The 19,938-nt window shown below is 51.0% G+C and overlaps 1 protein-coding gene, 1 long non-coding RNA gene and 1 other non-coding gene across 5 annotated transcripts in view, besides 2 other annotated features; 2 read left to right on the forward strand and 1 right to left on the reverse strand.

Moving 5' to 3' along the window:
• GLP1R (glucagon like peptide 1 receptor) overlaps positions 1-17,932 on the forward strand; it is a 42,523-nt gene extending 24,591 nt beyond the window's left edge. The window contains exons 7-14 of one of the 3 annotated variants that reach the window (NR_136563.2): positions 239-398; positions 4,951-5,011; positions 5,586-5,655; positions 5,741-5,829; positions 6,193-6,331; positions 7,327-7,368; positions 12,535-12,758; positions 12,917-17,932. Coding sequence is in view for 1 of the 3 variants with exons in the window: in NM_002062.5 (NP_002053.3) it covers positions 239-398; positions 4,951-5,011; positions 5,586-5,655; positions 5,741-5,829; positions 6,193-6,331; positions 7,327-7,368; positions 12,535-12,702 (729 nt within the window). In the remaining 2 variants the exon portion in view is untranslated. Of the gene's footprint in view, positions 1-238; positions 399-4,950; positions 5,012-5,585; positions 5,656-5,740; positions 5,830-6,192; positions 6,332-7,326; positions 7,369-12,534 lie in introns of all 3 variants that reach the window. The other 2 variants (NR_136562.2, NM_002062.5) reach the window with 2 other exon arrangements.
• Positions 356-1,213: an enhancer, noted in NCBI's record as "H3K4me1 hESC enhancer chr6:39041503-39042360 (GRCh37/hg19 assembly coordinates)". NCBI's record gives its function as "activates a minimal SCP1, AML or CMV promoter by ChIP-STARR-seq in primed H9 embryonic stem cells {active_cell/tissue: H9 hESC(primed)}" and the evidence as "EXISTENCE:reporter gene assay evidence [ECO:0000049][PMID:30033119]".
• On the forward strand, positions 943-1,010 carry MIR9983 (microRNA 9983). Its single transcript, NR_162114.1, has one exon. It is a non-coding gene; the product is annotated as a microRNA 9983 (primary transcript).
• Positions 4,159-5,585, reverse strand: LOC105375046 (uncharacterized). The gene is made up of 3 exons (XR_926773.3): positions 5,526-5,585; positions 4,995-5,096; positions 4,159-4,542 (listed from the first exon to the last, which is right to left on the reverse strand). It is a non-coding gene; the product is annotated as an uncharacterized LOC105375046 (long non-coding RNA).
• Positions 14,456-15,762: an enhancer, noted in NCBI's record as "VISTA enhancer hs2612". NCBI's record gives its function as "enhancer in: other[12/13]" and the evidence as "EXISTENCE:transgenic organism evidence [ECO:0001131][PMID:17130149]".
• Positions 17,933-19,938: the final 2,006 nt, after the last annotated feature.

Consider the following 19,938-nt stretch of genomic DNA (forward strand, 5'->3'; position numbering starts at 1 on the left):
TGAGAAGTCACTTACTTCTCACCTGCAGGGGGATACATTACTTTCTTCCAATCAGGATAGTGAGGATTCAATGAGCTAAAGCAGATAAAGTCCTTAGCACTAGCCCTAGCCAGAGATGTGAGCTCTCTCCTCCTGCATTAACCATGGCAGGATAGTGGCTGGAGCAGGACGGGGAGTGGTATCAAGAGAGGCAGAGGGCAGAGCTGTTGTCCCCATGACACCCTTCCTCTACCCCCAGGACTCTCTGAGCTGCCGCCTGGTGTTTCTGCTCATGCAGTACTGTGTGGCGGCCAATTACTACTGGCTCTTGGTGGAGGGCGTGTACCTGTACACACTGCTGGCCTTCTCGGTCTTATCTGAGCAATGGATCTTCAGGCTCTACGTGAGCATAGGCTGGGGTAAGAACCGCCATCACCCACCCTGGACCTGTGGCACGGGGGTGGGAGACCTTGACCCCTCTTCTAACATGGTACTTGGAACGCACTGCTGAGCAAGGGGCAAGGCCCACTGGGTAACCCTCTTCCTGGGCACAGGACCTTCTGCCCCGGTGCTGTTAAGATGCCGTAGGGGGTTATGGTCCTCCCCTCCTCTGCATAACTCTCCTCCCTTAATGGAAGCCTCCACCGCATGTGGCCAAACACCACCCTCTACCACTATCATGCACACCACTGGAGGTCATGGCACTGTTCTCTTAAGACCACATGGGGACATAAGTTCACACCCAGTCCCGGGCAGCCCGAGGGCCTGAGGGAAATGGTGAGTCCTGGGCCTCAAGGTGGGGAGGGGATCAAGAGGGTAGGGGGCTGGCTGGGGGGAGCCTGCTGGTGCTCTGTCACATGACGATGAAGAGGAGGGCTCAGAGGAGAGCCAAGTACAGTGGGGCAGGGGGGCCAGAGGCCAGCCAAGGAAAGGGTGGACGGCGGATGTGCCTGGAGCCCAGCTGGAAATGTTCTAGCCAAAAAAGTTTGCCAAGAACCATTGTGTCTTTTTTTTTGCTGGAACATTTCTGGTTGTGCTTCTGCCTCTCACCACGTGGGATTGTAATGAGGGGCAGCATTGGGGTTGGGAAGGGGGCTGGGATCCCCTTCACCCCTGGGAAAACATGCAACAGGCCTTTCTGGAGGGACCCACGGTACCCAGAGAATAGGCCCTGCCCTCTGTCCTCCCTAATCTGCCATTGAATCCATGAGTTTTCCTGTTCCACACCATCCCCCGCCCTGCTTGCCACTCCTTCATTCACTCCTCCTTCCTTCATGCGCCCACCTCACGCTGCTCTGACCACGGCTGCCCCTGCCACGGACCTCCGGGGACTTTCCAGCTCAGTCACATCCAGACTCCTCTTCCCTGACAATGGTCCTGTCCCTGAGCCTTTGCAAGGCTGTTCTCCATGCAGGAATGTTCAGGGAGCATCCTTCCCACACCAGGGTGTCCGCTGCCTCTTCAGGAAGCTGCCTCAGGCCACCAGTCCTCGTGGTTCTGTGCTCTCTGCCCTCTCAAGCTCTCCATCCCCTGTCCTTGCACTTCATTTATTTTTACTGGTGTTCCTCAGCCATTTTTCTCTATACAGCTCCCCCCACCCCCCAGGAGAAGAGTAGCCTGAGAGATTTTAATGTGACCAGTGTCTTGAGGACACCAAGGCCCAGAGCTGGCAGGGCCTTACAGGCAGAGCAGGCCCTGGAACCCAGGCCTCCTGACTCCCAGGCTCTGGGCCTGCGGCCATCATGCCCTGTTCTCTTGCCTGGGCTGCATCCCTTCAGTCCCCTGCAGCACCCCTGAGCAGGCTCAGGCCTCTGCACAGGTGGGCAGGTAGGCCTGGCTCCTGCTCACAGATCCCTGCTCCTCACCTGCCTCCTCCACTCCCAGAACCCAGTCCCTTCCTTGGCCTTTTCTCCCCGAGGCTTCTTCCTCCTGCTAGAGCAGGAGGAGGGAGGCCATCGAGGGCAGCTCAGGGAAGGCTGTCTTCAGGGTGGGGGACGGTGTCTGTCCATTCTAGGAAATAGCATCAGCGCTGTTAGTGCCTGTCACCATGGCGACCCGAGGGCAGGAACAATCAAGGGACGTGTGTGATGTGTGCAGAGGAGCGGGGGTGGCTGGAGTTTGGTGGGGACACACTGCCCTAGAGGTCTCTGAGTGGGAGATGGGGGAGGGAGTGCCAAGTCCTTTTCCTACCACCTCACACCCTAGCTCAGGGCTCGGGGTCTGTGGGAGCACAAGGGCAAGACCCGGAGGACACCCTGCTCTAATCAGAACACCTTTTTCTTGAGGATTGGGGTGGGGGAGACGGAGAGAGATTCACAGGTTGCTAGGAGCTCAGACGTGATGCCAGGAGGCCTTGCCCAAGCTGGGATACTTGGGAAACAACTTTCAGCTTCATGTGCAAGTGGAAGAATTAAAATTAGGACTCTGACACAGTTGGAGAGGTCCCCCAAAGGGCATGGCAGCTTCTGCTGCAGTCCCCAGGCAGTTGGGGGCCTGTAGAAACCCACATGGAGGCTGTGCAAGAGGGAGGCAAATGATGGTTGAGGGAATCATTACTTCCTGGAGCCAGTTGTGTGTGTCTTAATTTGAGCTTTTTTCTCCAACCTGTCTTGCTCGTTTTCTAAATGGGAGAAAGATGAAGCCAGCAGGGAGTGCGTAATGTTTGCATGCAGCAGGGCTTTCGTGACTGTGTTTTTTGAAAAGGCCTTGTTAAGGAAATGCTGACGATGAGTGAAACTTGCCAGGTCTGGCTGATAACATGGGTGAGTGCCCTGATCCTGGAAGGAGGTCTCAGAGAGAAGGGACAGCAGGGGGCGAGGGATACCCAGAAGGAAGCTTCTGCATGTGTACGTGGTTCAGGAAATCGGCATGCTCTTGCCCAGACAATGTTCCTTCCCTTATTGGTGTGTTGACTCACCCATCATTCGTTCCATTCTCACTGGGCATCTTCTATGTGGCAGGGCCTGTACCATGTGCTGGGGCCTTTGGAGACCATCCCATTCCTTGTCCAGTCTCATAAAGGCCTGTTACTAAAGCACCGTAGATGCTGAGAGGTCCGATTTGTGTAGAAATCAATGGGCCAGGAGAGAGAGAGCTGATGAAGAATGCTGGTCCGCTGGGGGCTCCTTTGCCTCCTCCATCTCTCCCTGCATCATCAGGCACAGTAGATCTGGGCACACAACCTGCTTAGTAGCTGCTGTTGAGTGGACACTGATGTGCTAAAGACATAGACAATGGTGACAGGAAAGGCTATGAAGTGGTTCTGTCCTGGAAATGTGCTCCAGGCAGAGATTCCCAAAGTCATACGTGCACACTCATGGTCCACCCACCACACCCTCACACACACATGTCTACATACCTTAATATGCACATGCTTACCTATCTCAGACACATCTCCAACACTGAGGGAGGGGCCAACGGAGACGAGCATGGAGACAGCCAGTGCAGAAGGCCATTGAGGGCGGTGGGAGTGGGTATGGGATTGCAGCCCTGAATTCGAGCCCCACCTGTGCCCTTCTGAGTCCCTGATCCATCTCCTCATATGTCATGTGAGGAAGGAAAATCCAATTTTAAATCAACCAACACAGACCCTGAGCTCTCAGGGTGATCTGGGCATTGAGGCTCTGAAGGTGAGTGAGGCCCAGGCTCTACCCTCAAGGAACTGGGAACCAGTTGTATTAATTCTCTATTGCTGCAGAACGATTAACCCTGAAACTTAGCTACTTAAAACAACGAACCATTGTTATCTCACAGTTCCTGTGGCCTGCAATCTCGGTTCAACTTAGCTGGGTACCTTGTGGCTCAGGATCTCACAGAGAAAACTCTTTAGGCAAGAGCATGTGGATTTCCTGAATCACATACACATATAGAAACTTCCTTCTTGGGCATCCCCCACCCCCTGCTGTCCCTTCTCTCTGAGACCTCCTTCTAGGATCAGGGCACTCTCAGAGAAGCAGCCAGCTGTCACCAGGGTTGCTGTCATCTCAAGGCTTAACTGGGGATGGAGAATCTACTTCCAAGCTCATTCAAGAGGCAGTTGGCAGGAAGCCGCAGTTGCTGGCCAAAGGCTGGAGGCCTCCATTTCTTGCTGCAGAGACCTCCATCTAGGCCTTCTGAGTTCTCTCAGCACATGGCAACTGGTTTCCCCCAGAGCAAGTGATCAGAGAAAGAGAAAGAGAATGCAAAACAAGCCACAGTGTCTTTTATAACAATCAGAAGTGACATGCCATCACTTCTGCCAGAGGTTCCTGGGTCACATGAAACAATGCTGATACAACGTGGACTAACTACCCAAGGGTATGAGCACAGGAGGTGGGGATCCCTAGGGGCCATCTTAGAGGCTGTCTACTACACAAGTCAAGTCTCAGCCGAGTGGAAAGTAGTATTGTTGTAGCTGTTGTTATTGTAGGCCACTGCGGACAGTTAGTTGGTCAGCTGGCATCAAGGACTGGGCTCCTGTCTCCATTCCAGGATTCTGCCGAGCCCTCTTGAAGGTGCACAGTGGTAGGGAAGAGATGACTGAAAGGACATCCAGTGCCTTTAGGAGTTGACTGGCAACGTGGGCTGAAGCAAGAGAGAAAATGGGCATCAGAGGGTTCGCCTGCTCCTTGCCTCATCCGTCATGCTGTCCCCACCGCATGGCCCAGTCCCGCTGCTGTTTGTGTGTCTGTGGCCTGGTAACTTAGCCGGGACTCTGAGGGCAAGTCCTGACAGTGTGCCTGGCACACAGGAGGTGGGGGACTGATGACTGATGAGGACCTCTCTGTAAGGAAGAGTCTGGGGGTCCGCATGGGGCTCCTGCTGCCTCTGTTCTCCCAGGTGCCCAGAAAAAAACTAGAAAACATAGTTGGAGGCCAGGCAAGGAGAGGGGCTGGAAGTGTGAGGGGCTTGGGGCAGGGAGAGGCCTCGGCATGTAGACTGTGGCTCTGGCCTGCCAGCCCCTCTCCCCTTCTGTCTTTCCCTCTCTCTTAGGTGTTCCCCTGCTGTTTGTTGTCCCCTGGGGCATTGTCAAGTACCTCTATGAGGACGAGGGGTGAGTGTCCTGCTCCAAGGGGGCGGGTGTGCCCAGGTCCCCATCCTCAAGGTCCATGGGATTCCTTGGTACCTGGGGCACCCATCTGTTGAGAGGATAAAGGGGGGTACCAGGAGCTTAGAAGGTGAATTTAGTTCTCTAATCTCCCCTCCCTGCCCCTGCCCCTGCCCCTGCCCCTGTCCCAGGATTGTTTGATGACTAACGGAACTGGGTCTGTGGGGTACATGGTGCCCTCCTGCAGGTTTTTCTGTAATATCTGCAAGTGAAATGTTTGTGTCATTTTGTATATGATGCTGGGTACACACATGACTGTGTTGGTAGGTCCTTGAAAGCTTGTTTGGGGGCTGTGTGCATCTCTGTGTATGACTGTGTATTTGGACTATGCGTGTGTGTTGTGTGGCTGTGCACTGGCAGGGCTCTGTGGGTCCATGGGACTGGTTTTTGGGTGGCTCCTGGGAGCTGTGTGTGTGGCACTCAACATGGCCATGTGCATTGGCGGCCTCTGTGCCTGCACCTGAGCTGGGGGTCCTGTGAGTCCTGCTGGATGCATGTGTGCATCTCTCTCCCTCCCCAGCTGCTGGACCAGGAACTCCAACATGAACTACTGGCTCATTATCCGGCTGCCCATTCTCTTTGCCATTGGGGTGAGTGATGGTGTCAGGGATGGGAGTGGCAGCTATGATAGGGCTGGGCTGGTGCCCCCTGCCAATCCCCGGCCCCACCCCGCAGGTGAACTTCCTCATCTTTGTTCGGGTCATCTGCATCGTGGTATCCAAACTGAAGGCCAATCTCATGTGCAAGACAGACATCAAATGCAGGTGATGTAACTGAGCTGGCTTTACTGAGGACCCTCAGCAAGTGCCCCTTTCCTTCTAGCAGAGAGAGAGAGAGAGATCCTGGGATGCTTAGCTTAGAGCCCTACACTACCCTCTCCTTCCACCCAGGCCTGGCCTTGGACCCCAAACCCTTGCTTTTGCCCTGTCTCTGGGCAGCCCCTGGACTTGTTGGGGTCTTGACCTCTATTCTTTCCCTCCAGGCAGCCTGTCCCAGGGTATTTGGGGTGGGAGAACATCCATGACCCAGATATCAGGACTTGGTAGGAAGTGGGGAGGGTAGAGAAAGGGAAGAAGAGTCCATGGGAGAGGTCCAGAATGACTCGAGATCTCTGCCCTGCCCCTCAGACTTGCCAAGTCCACGCTGACACTCATCCCCCTGCTGGGGACTCATGAGGTCATCTTTGCCTTTGTGATGGACGAGCACGCCCGGGGGACCCTGCGCTTCATCAAGCTGTTTACAGAGCTCTCCTTCACCTCCTTCCAGGTGACTTCATGCTTGGGGACACTTGCTTGTAAAGTCCTAGAGTGGGGGTGGGACAGACACCAGCCTGCATCATGCAGATGGAAAAGGTGGGAAGACTGGGACCTGGAGGGGTGATCCCTGCCCAAAGTCACCTAGTTGGAGCAGAGCCAGAACTAGTATCCCCAGGTGTCCCAATACCTGGGCCAGTCTTCTCTGTAAGCACATGGGACAAGAAGCCTTCCTGGATGTAGCTCTGGGTACCAGCCTGGCATTGCAGCTGCCATCTACTTGGTGGCGAGCACCCTGCCAGGTGCTTTACATGCATTGTGCATTTACTCCTCACAGAACCCAGGAGATGTGCAGGGTTAGCCTCACTTTACAGAGGAGACTCAGAGGTGTTAAAACCAGAGTTACGGTGTCACAGTTTCAAAGAAAAGAACTGATCCTCTCCACTAGCATTAGATGATGCTAAGGGGGTGTAAAAATACAAAAAAACTGGTCCCTGCCTGCCCCTCAAGAGTGTCATGAGATGCCTGCACACATGTGGGCTCATGTGTGTGTATTTACATACATGTGCAGACATACAGAACACAATTCTGGAGCCCTGGGTCTCCTTCATGAACAGATGGGGCTGGAGTGGGGAATATTCTCCATGATCAGAGTCATTGTACTTCACTGGATCAGGCCTCCTCAAGGAGAGGTTGGATGTAGGATCTCTACAGCTTCTGGGCAGCTTCTGAGCAGGGTCTCCTGGACCCCATGGCACATGCCTGGGAGACCCATGGGGAGAGGCTAGCTGGGGCCTGTAGCCAGGCCTAGTCGCAGAGGTGCAACCCTGGTGTTCCTTCAGAAAGGAAATGAGAGGGAAGCCACTGCCCCATTCCTGGATCTGCCTGGGCCGCTGGATTTGGGGAGGGGGTTGTTGAGGATGGAGTCCCAAAGTGCTTCCGACCAGGGCCAGTCTGCAGGGCACCTCCCTCCTGCTTCCTCCCTCTTGATGTGACTCTTGTTTCCAGGGGCTGATGGTGGCCATATTATACTGCTTTGTCAACAATGAGGTAAGCTCTGAGGAGGGACGGTGGGGACCCTGGTGGGTGGGTACCATCAGCCCGTCTGGAGTAGTACAATGGGGACTCCCATCAATCTTGCCAGCTGAAACCCCCTACTCACCTCACTGAGGCACTAGGGTTGAGAAGCCATCTTGTCCACAGATTTGGTTTTCTGTGCATGGTCTCTCTCACACATGAACACACACACACAAGTACATGTACAGGTATACCCTAATGGCATGTGACCCTAAGGAAGACCCAGACTCATGTTAAGGGGATCCTGAATGACCCTCTTTGCTTGGTGGTAGTGACTGTCACTTACAAAGTGATTCAACACACACATACCCAAGCCACATGCTTGGGGCTTTAATAATCACTATCTCATTTAATTATGACCCCCACATCCCTCAAAAAAAAACCCTGCTAAAATTCTTATTTCATATTCCCATTTTTTATATATACATGAAAACACTGAAGATCAGAAAGAGTCAGGAACCTGCCCTAGGTTTGGAAATAGTGGCACACATCGCTTCTTAGCCTTTTGGCTAAGGTGAAGTGTGGAAATAGTGGCATGGCAGAGCCAGGATTCAAATTAATTCTGCATTAAAGCAGAAAGTACCCCATTCTTCATACACACAGGCAAGAGCCCTGGCTCACTGTGGGGAAGGGGGTGGCTTTCTGGTGCTAGGATGGGAGAAGGGGGTTCTCGCTGGCCCCACACACTCTCCTGAAAATGTCTGCAGGACAGCAGGCCTCCCTCCCATCCCTGAGATGGTCAGCTCCTGGGAGGAGGGCATGGCTGTGTTCATGGGCACCTGGAAAAGGCCCCTTCCACCAAGGTACTCAGCTTTGGAATCCCAGAGCTCAGGGATGTTGGAGTCAGCACATTAATAGGCTTGTCTTTTTCTATGGGTGTGGGGGATGCAGAAAGGACAGTGGGTGGGGACCTGGGTGTTTCAAGGAGCTATGAGATGGCTCAAAGAAGCAATGTGATGTAGCAGAAAAGATGCAAGGATGCAGGCTTTGGCATCTTATTTGGTCTGATCTGGGCCCCATCACTTAATGAGCTGTGTGACTTTGCCTAAGTTACCTGCCCACTCTGAAACTTAGTTTGCTCATTTACAAAGTGGGGATAATCCTGTGAGGATTAAGAAAGTCTGAAAAAGGTGCGAAAGGGGAACAGAGAACAAGTCCTTCCTTCAAGGTGGGATGCTGAAGGCCCATCCTAGCTCCTCACAGGTGCTGCTTGGCATGGAGAAACACACACCATTATCTCCAGATGCTCAGTAAGCAATCACTATTAGATCAGTATTCAGTGATTCCCAGAGACAGGGGCCTAAGGAATTTCAGAGGATGCCGTGCAGAGAAAATGAGGCTGGGTGAAAGGGAAGGGAGGGGAATGTTCCCTTGTCCCTGAGGCCTCCCCCTGCTTCTGCTGAACTGGCTACCTGTGGGAAGTGTGGCCCTCAGATCTCTAAATGGGAGGGAAACCAAGGTCTCTTAAGGGTTTACTGCATATAAGGTGCTCAGAGTGTCTCATTACATCCAATGCTGTGCAGCAGATGGTATCCCCAATTCACAGCTAAGAACGTTAAGCCTCAGCAAAATGAAATGAGTAGCCTAATTCAATAGACAGAAGATGGTAGAGCTAGTGGGCTGTGGCGGGGGCAAGATCCCACTTAATGCCTCAGGGAAGCAGGTGCTGGGGAGGTGAAGGCAGCGCCAGGCAAAGAGTGGCCCATAAATGGGATTCTGGCTGCTCCTGGGACAGGTCTTAGAGGACCCAGCGGCTCCGTTTGGAGGGTAGGGCAGGGAACAGGCTCGTGACCCACAGGAGGCAGTCCTGGTCCTCCTCCACTGCCATATCCTCAAAATGAGTTTCTTTAAAACTGATGCAAACGAGGAAGTGCAAAAACCTAAGCTCTGTGGGTGGCCTCCCCTCCAGGAATGCTCTCAGCCAGCTGGGTGATGCGCTACCCAGCCCTGAGCTCTGCTGCTTTCCATTCCAGCCCAGTGGTGATGGGGGCAAGACAGGGTGGCATGTATCCTGTGTGGGGATGAGGAGCAGAGGCCTGTAGGGAGAGACTGAGGCTCCCTGCTGCCACCTTGTCATCTTGACCCCCCCACGTCCCCGTTTCTCACTTCTCTATCCTCTGACACTGTCACTGCAGCCCTACTAGCAGACACGTGTGCTTGGCTTCCCCCCCGCCATTGTGAACAGTCTCCCCTGACCCCTGGCTCAGCTGCCTCTCCAGATTCCATCCTTCCAAGCCTAGTCATCTCATCACCTCCCTCCTCATGCACCACCTATGGCTGGCCCACCTTTGTAAGGGGATAGTACTTCTTTGCCCTTGGAAAAAAACTTGATCCTGAATCACCAGGGTTGCACCTCTCTGACCAGGCCTGGCTACAGACCCCAGCTAGCATCTCCCCGTGGATCTTCCAGGCTAGTGCCACGGGGTCCAGGAGACCCTGCTCAGAGAACGGGAGAACCTGTCTCCCTTCAGAGCACCAGCCAGTTCCTTTAAACCCACCCTGAGACTCCTCATGCCCTGGCTGCTCCAGGCACAAGGACAGATACATCATTGTCACTGGGCCACAAAAGACACATGTGGCTCTGGGGCTAAGGCCTCTGTCCACAAGAGCTGTTCTGCAGACCCAGGGTTGCCATGGCAATGCCAGGTACTTGTGACCTGAGGAGAAAAGATGGCTTGAATATTGGTTCTGTGTGGCTGCCAAGGCCTGCACCAGCTGCTGGTGGGCGTGAGTGGGGACAGGGAGGGGGAGGCCTGAAGGTGGTTTTGCTGTAGCTTGTGCCTGAGAGCCACAGTGAGGTGACTCAGAGCCCTGAGTGCTTGTCCCAGCCCTGCCACTGCCGAGCTGTGTGACCTGGGGCAAGTCATTTTGCCTCCCTTGCCTCTGTCTCCCCAGCCGTAAATGAAGGTGAATGAGCTTCCCAATTCACCCCGAATCCTGAGGCTGGCATGGTGCCTGCTGGAGAGGGAGGTCAGGAGGGGTGTGCTGCACTGCAGAGGTCGAGGGCAGGGATGAGGATAAAAATCCGATGGTGGAGGAGGAAGTGTGGTGGCCTAAGTCCCAGCCCAGGTGCTCAGAATCTGTGGTGTTGTCTTTGTGGGTTCATTTTCATAGCTGAGGAACAGAAGGAACCTGATGTGAGATGCTCATGCATTTATGTGTTCATTCATTTGGTTCATTTAAAACACATGTACTGAGCACCTGCTGTATGCTGGGCACTGTGCTAGGTTCAGGGATGCTGAGATGAAGAAGATGTGGTCCCAGCCCTCGAGGTGCTCCCAGGTGAGAGGTAGGAGATGGACCAGGGACAAGCAGGACTGCAAGAGCCACGCAGGCAGGAGGCCAGGGGTTAGGAGCCGGGCATTGGAATCAGGCCAGATCTAGGTTCAAATCCTGGCTGAGCGACCTGAGGAAATAAACACTCTGCACCTCAGTTTCCTCATCTTTAAATGTGGAGCTACTTTGCAGGGTTGATGTGAAAGTCAGCTAAGATAATTAATGGAAAATTCTGTGCATACAGTAAGTGCCCAATAAATATGGTGATTTTCAAGGACAATCGTGATTACAGGGGTCACAGCAGAGGTTCAGGAAAAGTGCTGAAGGAGATGGGGGCAGAAGGAGACACTGTGTGTCAGCACCCTGAGAAGTCCCATAGGTGTCCCTGAAACCTCTCTTTGGTCTCTGGTTTCCCGGAGGTGTGCCTCAGTTTACCATCTTTCCCCCCCTCTCCAGCGGAAGGGCTATGAAACAAGCCTGGCCTCCTGGCAGCTGCACAAGTGGGGGCCACCACTGGACTCAGGGCCCCCATCCCAGCTGTCAGCATGCGCTCCCTTCACAAAGACTCAGCCGGGCAGGGAGCTGGCATACAACAGGGTGGCTGTAGGTGGTGTCTGCTCAGCCTCCTTCCCTCCCCCACTCAAGCTTGGGTTCATGACGCTGCATGGGACACTGGCGTCATCCTGGCAGGCAGCCTCTGGGCCATCTCAACTCTACTCAGTGCAGAAAATGTTCTTTTAAGGGATGGCATGCAGCCATACCAGGCGTCTTGCTGGGCATAGCTGGATGGACGACAAAGGAGGAGAGGAGGGTTGTTTGCACAGGGGCTGGTGGGGAGATTGGCCCCTTATCCACAGCCGCTGGCATCTGGCTGTCTTGGTGACTTGGCCTAAAGGGAAGGGCCCAGACCCCAGACACTCTGGTGTGGGAAGGGTGGGGACTTCAAAGAAGCTCTGGAAAGCAAATGTATGGGAACATCACCCAGAAGAGCAGTCCAGACCCCCCAGGACTAGCTTGGCAGGTTCCAGCTAGGCCTCTCCAGGGACCAGAATCACTGGCCACCACCGGGAGCCACAGCATTGCCACAAACCCTCAAGGGATGGGGGCTCCACAGTGTTACTTGGATTTGTCTCTTTCTGCCCCAACAATCTGGCCCCCAAGCATCAGCCCTCCTGAGAGGCTTTTCCTGATGGGGAGGCCAGAGCCCAGCACAACAGGGATCCTGGCTGACTGAGCTCCCCTGGGCTGCACCCCCATGGTCACTGCAGTGTCTCTCTAGATGGCATCAGTTGAGAAGCCCTCACTGGCTGCCCCTTCCTCCCTGCTGTTTCCCGTCTCAGCCACATTCCTTCCTTCCCTCCCTCCTCCCCTGTGAGGTGCTGGGGCCTGGAGAGAAGCCCTCAGGGAGTTTAGAAGGGTCTGCTGTAGACACCAGGAAGGCTGGGGGTTGCCGTCCCCCTTCTCAAGCATCCAAGCTGAAACTGGACTGTGCGCTGTAAAGACAGAGTCTCTCTTCTCTCTCCCATCTCCTGTCTCCCTGTGTTTCACCCTCCCTCTCATTCTCTTCCGTTAAATAATACTGTGATGGATTGTAAAAGGTACTTAGCTGAATCACAGAGTTTAGAGATGGAAAAGACCAATTAGGTCATCAAGCTGATCTCTCTCCTGAGGAGCTGCAGAAAATAGGAGACAACAATAAACAATTTTATTGGGATATTAATTTAGGAGCCCGAAGGCCTTGACTTGTGTCTCTTAATATAATGCAGTGGATTTCTTCCCTTCCCCACTAATGTAATAGTGGGGCCATTTTGTTAGCCATTGGTTTGCATGATGGCTTTCGTTTCCCTCCTTTTCCCATGGAAGGTCCAGCTGGAATTTCGGAAGAGCTGGGAGCGCTGGCGGCTTGAGCACTTGCACATCCAGAGGGACAGCAGCATGAAGCCCCTCAAGTGTCCCACCAGCAGCCTGAGCAGTGGAGCCACGGCGGGCAGCAGCATGTACACAGCCACTTGCCAGGCCTCCTGCAGCTGAGACTCCAGCGCCTGCCCTCCCTGGGGTCCTTGCTGCAGGCCGGGTGGCCAATCCAGGTGGGAGAGACACTCCCAGGGACAAGGGAAGGAAGGGACACACACACACACACACACACACACACACACACACACATACATCCTGCTTTCCCTCCCCAAACCCATCAGACAGGTAAATGGGCAGTGCCTCCTGGGACCATGGACACATTTTCTCCTAGGAGAAGCAGCCTCCTAATTTGATCACAGTGGCGAGAGGAGAGGAAAAACGATCGCTGTGAAAATGAGGAGGATTGCTTCTTGTGAAACCACAGGCCCTTGGGGTTCCCCCAGACAGAGCCGCAAATCAACCCCAGACTCAAACTCAAGGTCAACGGCTTATTAGTGAAACTGGGGCTTGCAAGAGGAGGTGGTTCTGAAAGTGGCTCTTCTAACCTCAGCCAAACACAGAGCGGGAGTGACGGGAGCCTCCTCTGCTTGCATCACTTGGGGTCACCACCCTCCCCTGTCTTCTCTCAAAGGGAAGCTGTTTGTGTGTCTGGGTTGCTTATTTCCCTCATCTTGCCCCCTCATCTCACTGCCCAGTTTCTTTTTGAGGGGCTTTGTTTGGGCCACTGCCAGCAGCTGTTTCTGGAAATGGCTGTAGGTGGTGTTGAGAAAGAATGAGCATTGAGACGGTGCTCGCTTCTCCTCCAGGTATTTGAGTTGTTTTGGTGCCTGCCTCTGCCATGCCCAGAGAATCAGGGCAGGCTTGCCACCGGGGAACCCAGCCCTGGGGTATGAGCTGCCAAGTCTATTTTAAAGACGCTCAAGAATCCTCTGGGGTTCATCTAGGGACACGTTAGGAATGTCCAGACTGTGGGTGTAGATTACCTGCCACTTCCAGGAGCCCAGAGGGCCAAGAGAGACATTGCCTCCACCTCTCCTTGGAAATACTTTATCTGTGACCACACGCTGTCTCTTGAGAATTTGGATACACTCTCTAGCTTTAGGGGACCATGAAGAGACTCTCTTAGGGAAACCAATAGTCCCCATCAGCACCATGGAGGCAGGCTCCCCCTGCCTTTGAAATTCCCCCACTTGGGAGCTTGTATATACTTCACTCACTTTTCTTTATTGCTGTGAATAGTCTGTGTGCACAATGGGCAATTCTGACTTCTCCCATCTAGTGGAAATGAGCGAAATCATGGTTGTAGTGATGTTGTTTGGGAGAGTGCAGTAGTAATTGATTTGACCCACTCACACTTGGAGCTAATTAAGGTTTGCCCTGCCTGCAGCCTCCCCCACAAATAATGAACAGCAGAAAGACTGGACGGGGAAACCTATCAATCCTGCCCCCAGCCATGGTGAGGAAGCCCCAAGCCATGGTGACACACAGCAGCACTGCAGATAGCCAGACACATGGCTATCCTAGAGAGGCTGGCAAGGAGTTCGTGGCTGCAAAAGAAGTTTCTGGAGCAAGAGAGAGCTCGCTCTTGGGAGTCAGGACCTCCGGGGAGAGCAGAGGGTTCCGACGGATTCCTTTATGAGTCAGTCTCTCTCTCCCTTTTAAATGGTGGGAACCCTCCCCAAAACCTTTCCCCAGACACATTCTCCTGTGCCCCTCAGAGAGGCATGTGATGTGCAAGGAAAATAATAGGATATAAAACACATCAAGTAGAAAATTTCTTATACTTCAGCTTCAGTGAAGTGTTGTCTATGTTAATAGGCAAGTTGAACCTCGGGCTAAAGAAAGGAATTGTGTGGATGGCTGCCTTGACTGAGACAATATGGGCAGGGGGGCGTTCCTGCTTCCCCAGAACAAGGGCAGGCTTCCCAAAGGCACCCCTTATTTGCTGTCTCTTCGTAAGCGTGGGCACCAGTGGGTTGATGTGGGAAACAGTGCTGGTGCAAGTGTTTAAGTTTTGGATAAACTGAGGATTTTGAGAATCATTATTACATTACATAGCAACAAAGAAACAGATTGATATAATCTGTGTGAAATAAATTGCTGAGGAGAGGGATTGTAGGGAAGAAGTTGCTTAGTTAGGCACCTGGGAAGCTCAAATCATTTAGTTTAAACTGTAAGTAGAGTTGTCTTCCCAACGAGAACTGGTGATTCCTGATTTCAGAAGGCTCATCAGACCCCTACACCCAAGTCTTTTAACACGGAGGAAGTTTTTCCTTCATGAATACATACAAGATACCGAACTGAAGAAATCTTTTCTTTGCTCCAACCCCCGCTCCCCCGGCCCCCCGAAGCTATTAATAGTCATTCAAATGGCACTGCACTCTTTCCAAGCTTTCCTAAGCTAAATATGGCTCCAACAGGTCTGGGAACTATTGAATGCAATGTACTCTGAAATTCCAGCAGCTGTTTACATGCCTGATGCCTAATGCCATACGCCTGGAACTTGCTGAGAACTCTCGGCTGCCTCTGTCCTGGGGTACTATTGCTGACCAGCAGGGTGTAGGCGCTGCTTTTGTTTGAGCTTTGTAGCCACAAGGTCTGATGTCTGTTGTGAACAGCAGCTGACTTCAGCACTCTGGCCAGCTTCCTCAAACTTGTTAGTGGCTTGCATTTTGTCAATTTTTCTTTGCCATTTCAGTCTTTCAAGCAGCTGAATCGCAGAACTGAAACAAAACACTTATATTGCAAAGTTCCTTCCCTTTAAAATGAGCTTCTGGATTGCAGAGATGATTTTTTATGGTCTTAGCGTGCCTCATGCTGTAGACCACATCGTTGGAGCTCTGGGAGAGCTCTGAGCAGAGAAAGACCTTGGTGATCCCCCCTGGCCCGATCTATAGGATTGAGGAATGAGGCTTGTAGAGGTGGCTTGCCCAAGGTCACAACACTAGAGGGTGGTTGAGCTGGGCCAGGACCCAGACAAGCCCTTTTCTCTCAGTCTAGTGAGGCCTCTGGGAAGGATAGGTGAAAACTATAAATAGCTGTTCAAGATACTCTGAGTAAAAGTCAGTGGTGTTATCTGGAATTTCTACTGAAGAGGAAATACAGCAGCAAAGGTAGACTCATCAGATGGTGAAAGTGTCATCTCCTTTGTAATTTATACTGGTGAGAGGAGGGGAAGGATGTGCTTTCCTATTTTTACACTGGTACTTCATTCATCCTTGTCTTAAACTTAAGAAATGAAATGCATCAGGGCACACATATACATAGAAACAGCACATAAGCCATTTTGGATGGCAATTCCAGCACTCTTTTAATGGATTGGCTTAATTTTTTTTTCTGATGCCTCTCTATGTGTTTGAAAAGTTGTATTGATAGTCACACAGAGTGTACTAAAATAACCTAAAAGGTCTTGAACCTCCCCTTTACCTCTTTAGAACCTCTGAATTTGGAGACAGCTAGCAAACGGCAACTGTAGCCTAGCAAAGATGGCACAGCACCACAAAGGGCAAATGGAGTCAACTCCCTTCCATGCTCTGAAGGTCTTGGCCACTCTCATCAGGGTTGGCTGTGTACTATCCAGCAGCTCACAGTCAGGAGACCTCCCCTCCTCAGTCCCTCCCATTTCTTTCTTCCGCAAGGAAAGAACATTGCATGTGGGCGTGTGTGTGTGTATGTGTGTGCATGTGTGTGTGCATGTTTCTTCTGTGCATAGCAGCATAAAGTTAGGAGATGATGACTCCAGAATCATCACACCCGCTGTGCAGGTCATAGGACCGCACACCCGAGGCTGGGAGTCTAAGTGGTAGATGCTTCCTCTCCATGCGCAGACAGGGCTCCCATTATTTGCTAATGCCTGCGACGTGCTCAGGGAAGGCAAAATCTATTCCAAAGGTTTATTTTCCCTCTGTTGAATTGATTCTAATCTACAGTGCTTACCCTGCTTTTGGCTCCTACGAGGCAAACTATAAAAATTCTCAAATAAAATACAGAGGCTTACTCTGCAAAGACACCTGTGTGAATGACGTGCTAAACATTCAGCAGAAACCAAATTAGGATCAACTCTTAACATTTTTTCCCTCTTTTGTGGCTGGAATGAGTTCCCCTGGGAAAGAAAATCGCCCAAGTGAGAAACTTATGCCAACCACATTCCCATGCCCCTACAGTTACCTGCTGGCCCAGATCAGCTCTCTGGGTCTGCAGAGGGCCGAGACAGGAAGCATTATTAAGCAGTATAATTTCAAACACTTTACTTAGTGCCACAGTGTGTCTGCAGTATCTATAAGTACTTCCGCTCTGTCAAGGAATACAGACTGGCAGGAAGCAGATAAGCATAATTGTTTTCCAATAACTCCCCAAGTCTCTTGGAATATATATGTATCTGAATCTCTCAGAGGAGAGAGTTTTCTCTCTTCTTTGGCCATTTTAGCCTATTTTCCAGGACCTTGTCTAGCAGTGGCTCCATTTTTCCCCGATGCATCCAACTTCCCTCCCTGCACTCCTCCTCCCCGACAGCTGCCTCAGGAATAGGTGACCCTGCTGGCCATACTGTGAATGCTGTTCTTTCAGCTGTGACCAATTTGGGGGTGCAGCTGAGAGTGAGGTGCTGTCAGGGCTGAAAAGGACGCACCTCATTCTACATTTGGATGTGATGAGGAGCAGGGCAGCCACCAGCTTGGATCCTAACTTACATTGGGTGGTGCAACCTTTCTGACGGGGCCTGCCAAACTATCAGTAATTAGCCAGCCTAGACAATGTAGCATGACTAATTATTGCTGTGTCAAAGCAATTCAGGACAAGAAAAACATATCTAAATGAGAATGTTTAGATGTGGTGAGAAAAGAGCTCTCACCACAATTTGAAACATATAAAAAGTTGAGTTCTTTGCAGGGGAGCCAACGGGGGCATTGAGGGAAGGGCAAAATTCACCCCAGACAGCCAGTGCTTGATCTTGCCAAACAGTTTACACTTTACCTCCAAACCTGCAGTTCTAAGCTACTCCACTAAAATAATCATCCCATCCTCAAAGCAGACCAACTCCAGCATCCCATCGGTTCTGGAGGGATTTGATGCAAACCTTTAAATGCACCAACAGAGAGGTAAGCCAAGCTCTCAGGAGGGACAAAGATAGATTTCTATCTTCAGTGCTCTTGGGGGATGTTTGCTCCTCATGAGTGTTTAAACAAGATCATTTCCAGGTGATTTCTTAACATATAAATTCCTGCAAAATAGGACCAGCTTCTATAGGTAGCGAATGTGTAGGTCATATAATTCCTTGTACAGATGTGAATGGATGCAGACTCTTTCCTAATTTGCCTTGTAAGCCAAATAAAAGTCTGTCTCTACTGTCTCTCTTGCTCTTCCTTTGCGAAAGGAGGCTTTCTGCAATGTCAATCCAGGTGACTCACAGTGCAGTGGGAAAACACAAAAGATGCCGTTTCCAGCCAAGGAAAAAAACCTTGCTCATTACTCACACCGTGATTTTCATCTTCAAAGCACTCACCAAGTACTAATTTATCCATCGCAGCCTTTATGCAGGGACTGCAATGTCATTTAATTAGAGAAGTTGGGTGGTCGAGTGGCTTAAACAATAACTGATGGCCAAATGGATGTGTATTTTAATTCCGCTCATTCATTCGATCTCTCCTGTCTAAATGAACTCAGTCCATTAAATCCATTAAAAAAAAAGTCATAAAAGCATAAGCTTTGTTTGCAAAGCAGCCACAGAATTTGAATGGAACTGCTGTTTAGAAATTCATCTTCAGAAAAAATGAACTTTTCTCCAATTTAAATAATCACTCACTCTCCAGATTTGCAACTCACTCTTATAGAAGGGCAGAGGAATTGCAGATTCTCCTAATTCCCCCATCATTTCAGCTACACCTATTTGAAGGTCGGTGTACTTACCTGAAAGTATCTTTAAACATCCGCTTTTTAGACAAGCTGTGGTAATTGTCCCTTTCAAACATAAGAATAATTCTTACCCTGAGAGCAAGTTATACCTACAGCCAACTCCTGATAGCAGCAGGTGGAACATCTGCATTTGTTTCTCTGCACCAATCTTGCTTTTGAGTTAATTCCCTCCCCTATGGATATTCTTACCTTTCTGTGCCCTTCCCCTTCCACTTAACAGGACCAAAATAGAGGTTTTTATCCCCTCCCTACCTTCCAGGAAAACATCCACCCAAACCAATTAATGACCACCACATTTCTAGGTAGCTATTACAAATAATAGAAATCAGGTAGAAGTGCACCTTCTTTCTCTGAGGTTGCACTGTGGCTTAATAAGGGCTTGACCTCAGCCTAAAGAAAGGGGGTTGGGGAGCTGCCCTGCTGTTCCGAGGCCTAGCCACTGGGGAGACAAATGAGAATTCTTGGCTTCCAGACTCATTCATCCTCACATGCAATATAAAGCCATATTCTAGTGACTGCTGCCCCCAGATGGGGAAGACTGTGTTCCACATAGAGTTTGTGAAGGATCTCACTCACATGCCATGCATATCAGCATTTTCAAGGTTTGAGAACTCCTGTCCCCTTCCCTTATTATCCTCTCAAAACCCTGTGCCATGAACATATGGCAGTTCAGTCTCTTTCAATCTCTGTCTCTGTCTCTTCCTCTGTCCTTCCTTTTTCCCTCCTTCCCTACCCACCCTCCCAACACATACACACAAAGAGAAAGACTGGAAACAGTGAGGTTTTCCCCATCAGAAGTAGAGAAATAGTTGGTGGGGCAGAGAGGGAGGGCTGGGAACTAGCAGCACAAGCTGGACTACATGACAAATGCAGCCAGATGGTTGGAGAAGATGGGAACAGAGATCCAATATTGTGTGACTACAAGGAAGGAGTCGAACTGAGTGTCCCCAAGGTGGGAAGGGTAGGTGAGGAAGAGAAGATGAAGAGGCCAGAACATAAGTAGATAAAGAAAAAAGAAAAATAGCAGACTGTTTAACTGTGAAAAAGGGCTGTAGTGAAAGAGGGGAGGAAATTGCAGAGGAGGAAAAAAGAATGAGAATTACAAGTGGCATGCGACAAGGAACTAGGTTAGGAACCCTATCTCCAGTCAGTGTTATTAACTCCATCTTCCATAAATCTGAGCTCTTTCCCTGTAGCGTTCTCTAATCCTAAGCGGTGATAGAATATTTTCTTTTGTACAAAAGCTCATTTTAACTAACACAATGATTTTGGAAAGAGAAAAAGACCCGCGGCCCAGAGTGAATCCAACAAGACTTTTATTTTTTTCACACTGACACTGGGCACCAATGTGAGAATGAATTACTATGGCTCCCCCTCATGTAGGACAAATAGACCTTAGAATTTATTTGTGGTACAACCTCCAACTACAAACAAAATCAATAG

This window comes from Homo sapiens, chromosome 6 (genome assembly GCF_000001405.40).
Source record: "Homo sapiens chromosome 6, GRCh38.p14 Primary Assembly".
NCBI lineage: Eukaryota > Metazoa > Chordata > Mammalia > Primates > Hominidae > Homo > Homo sapiens.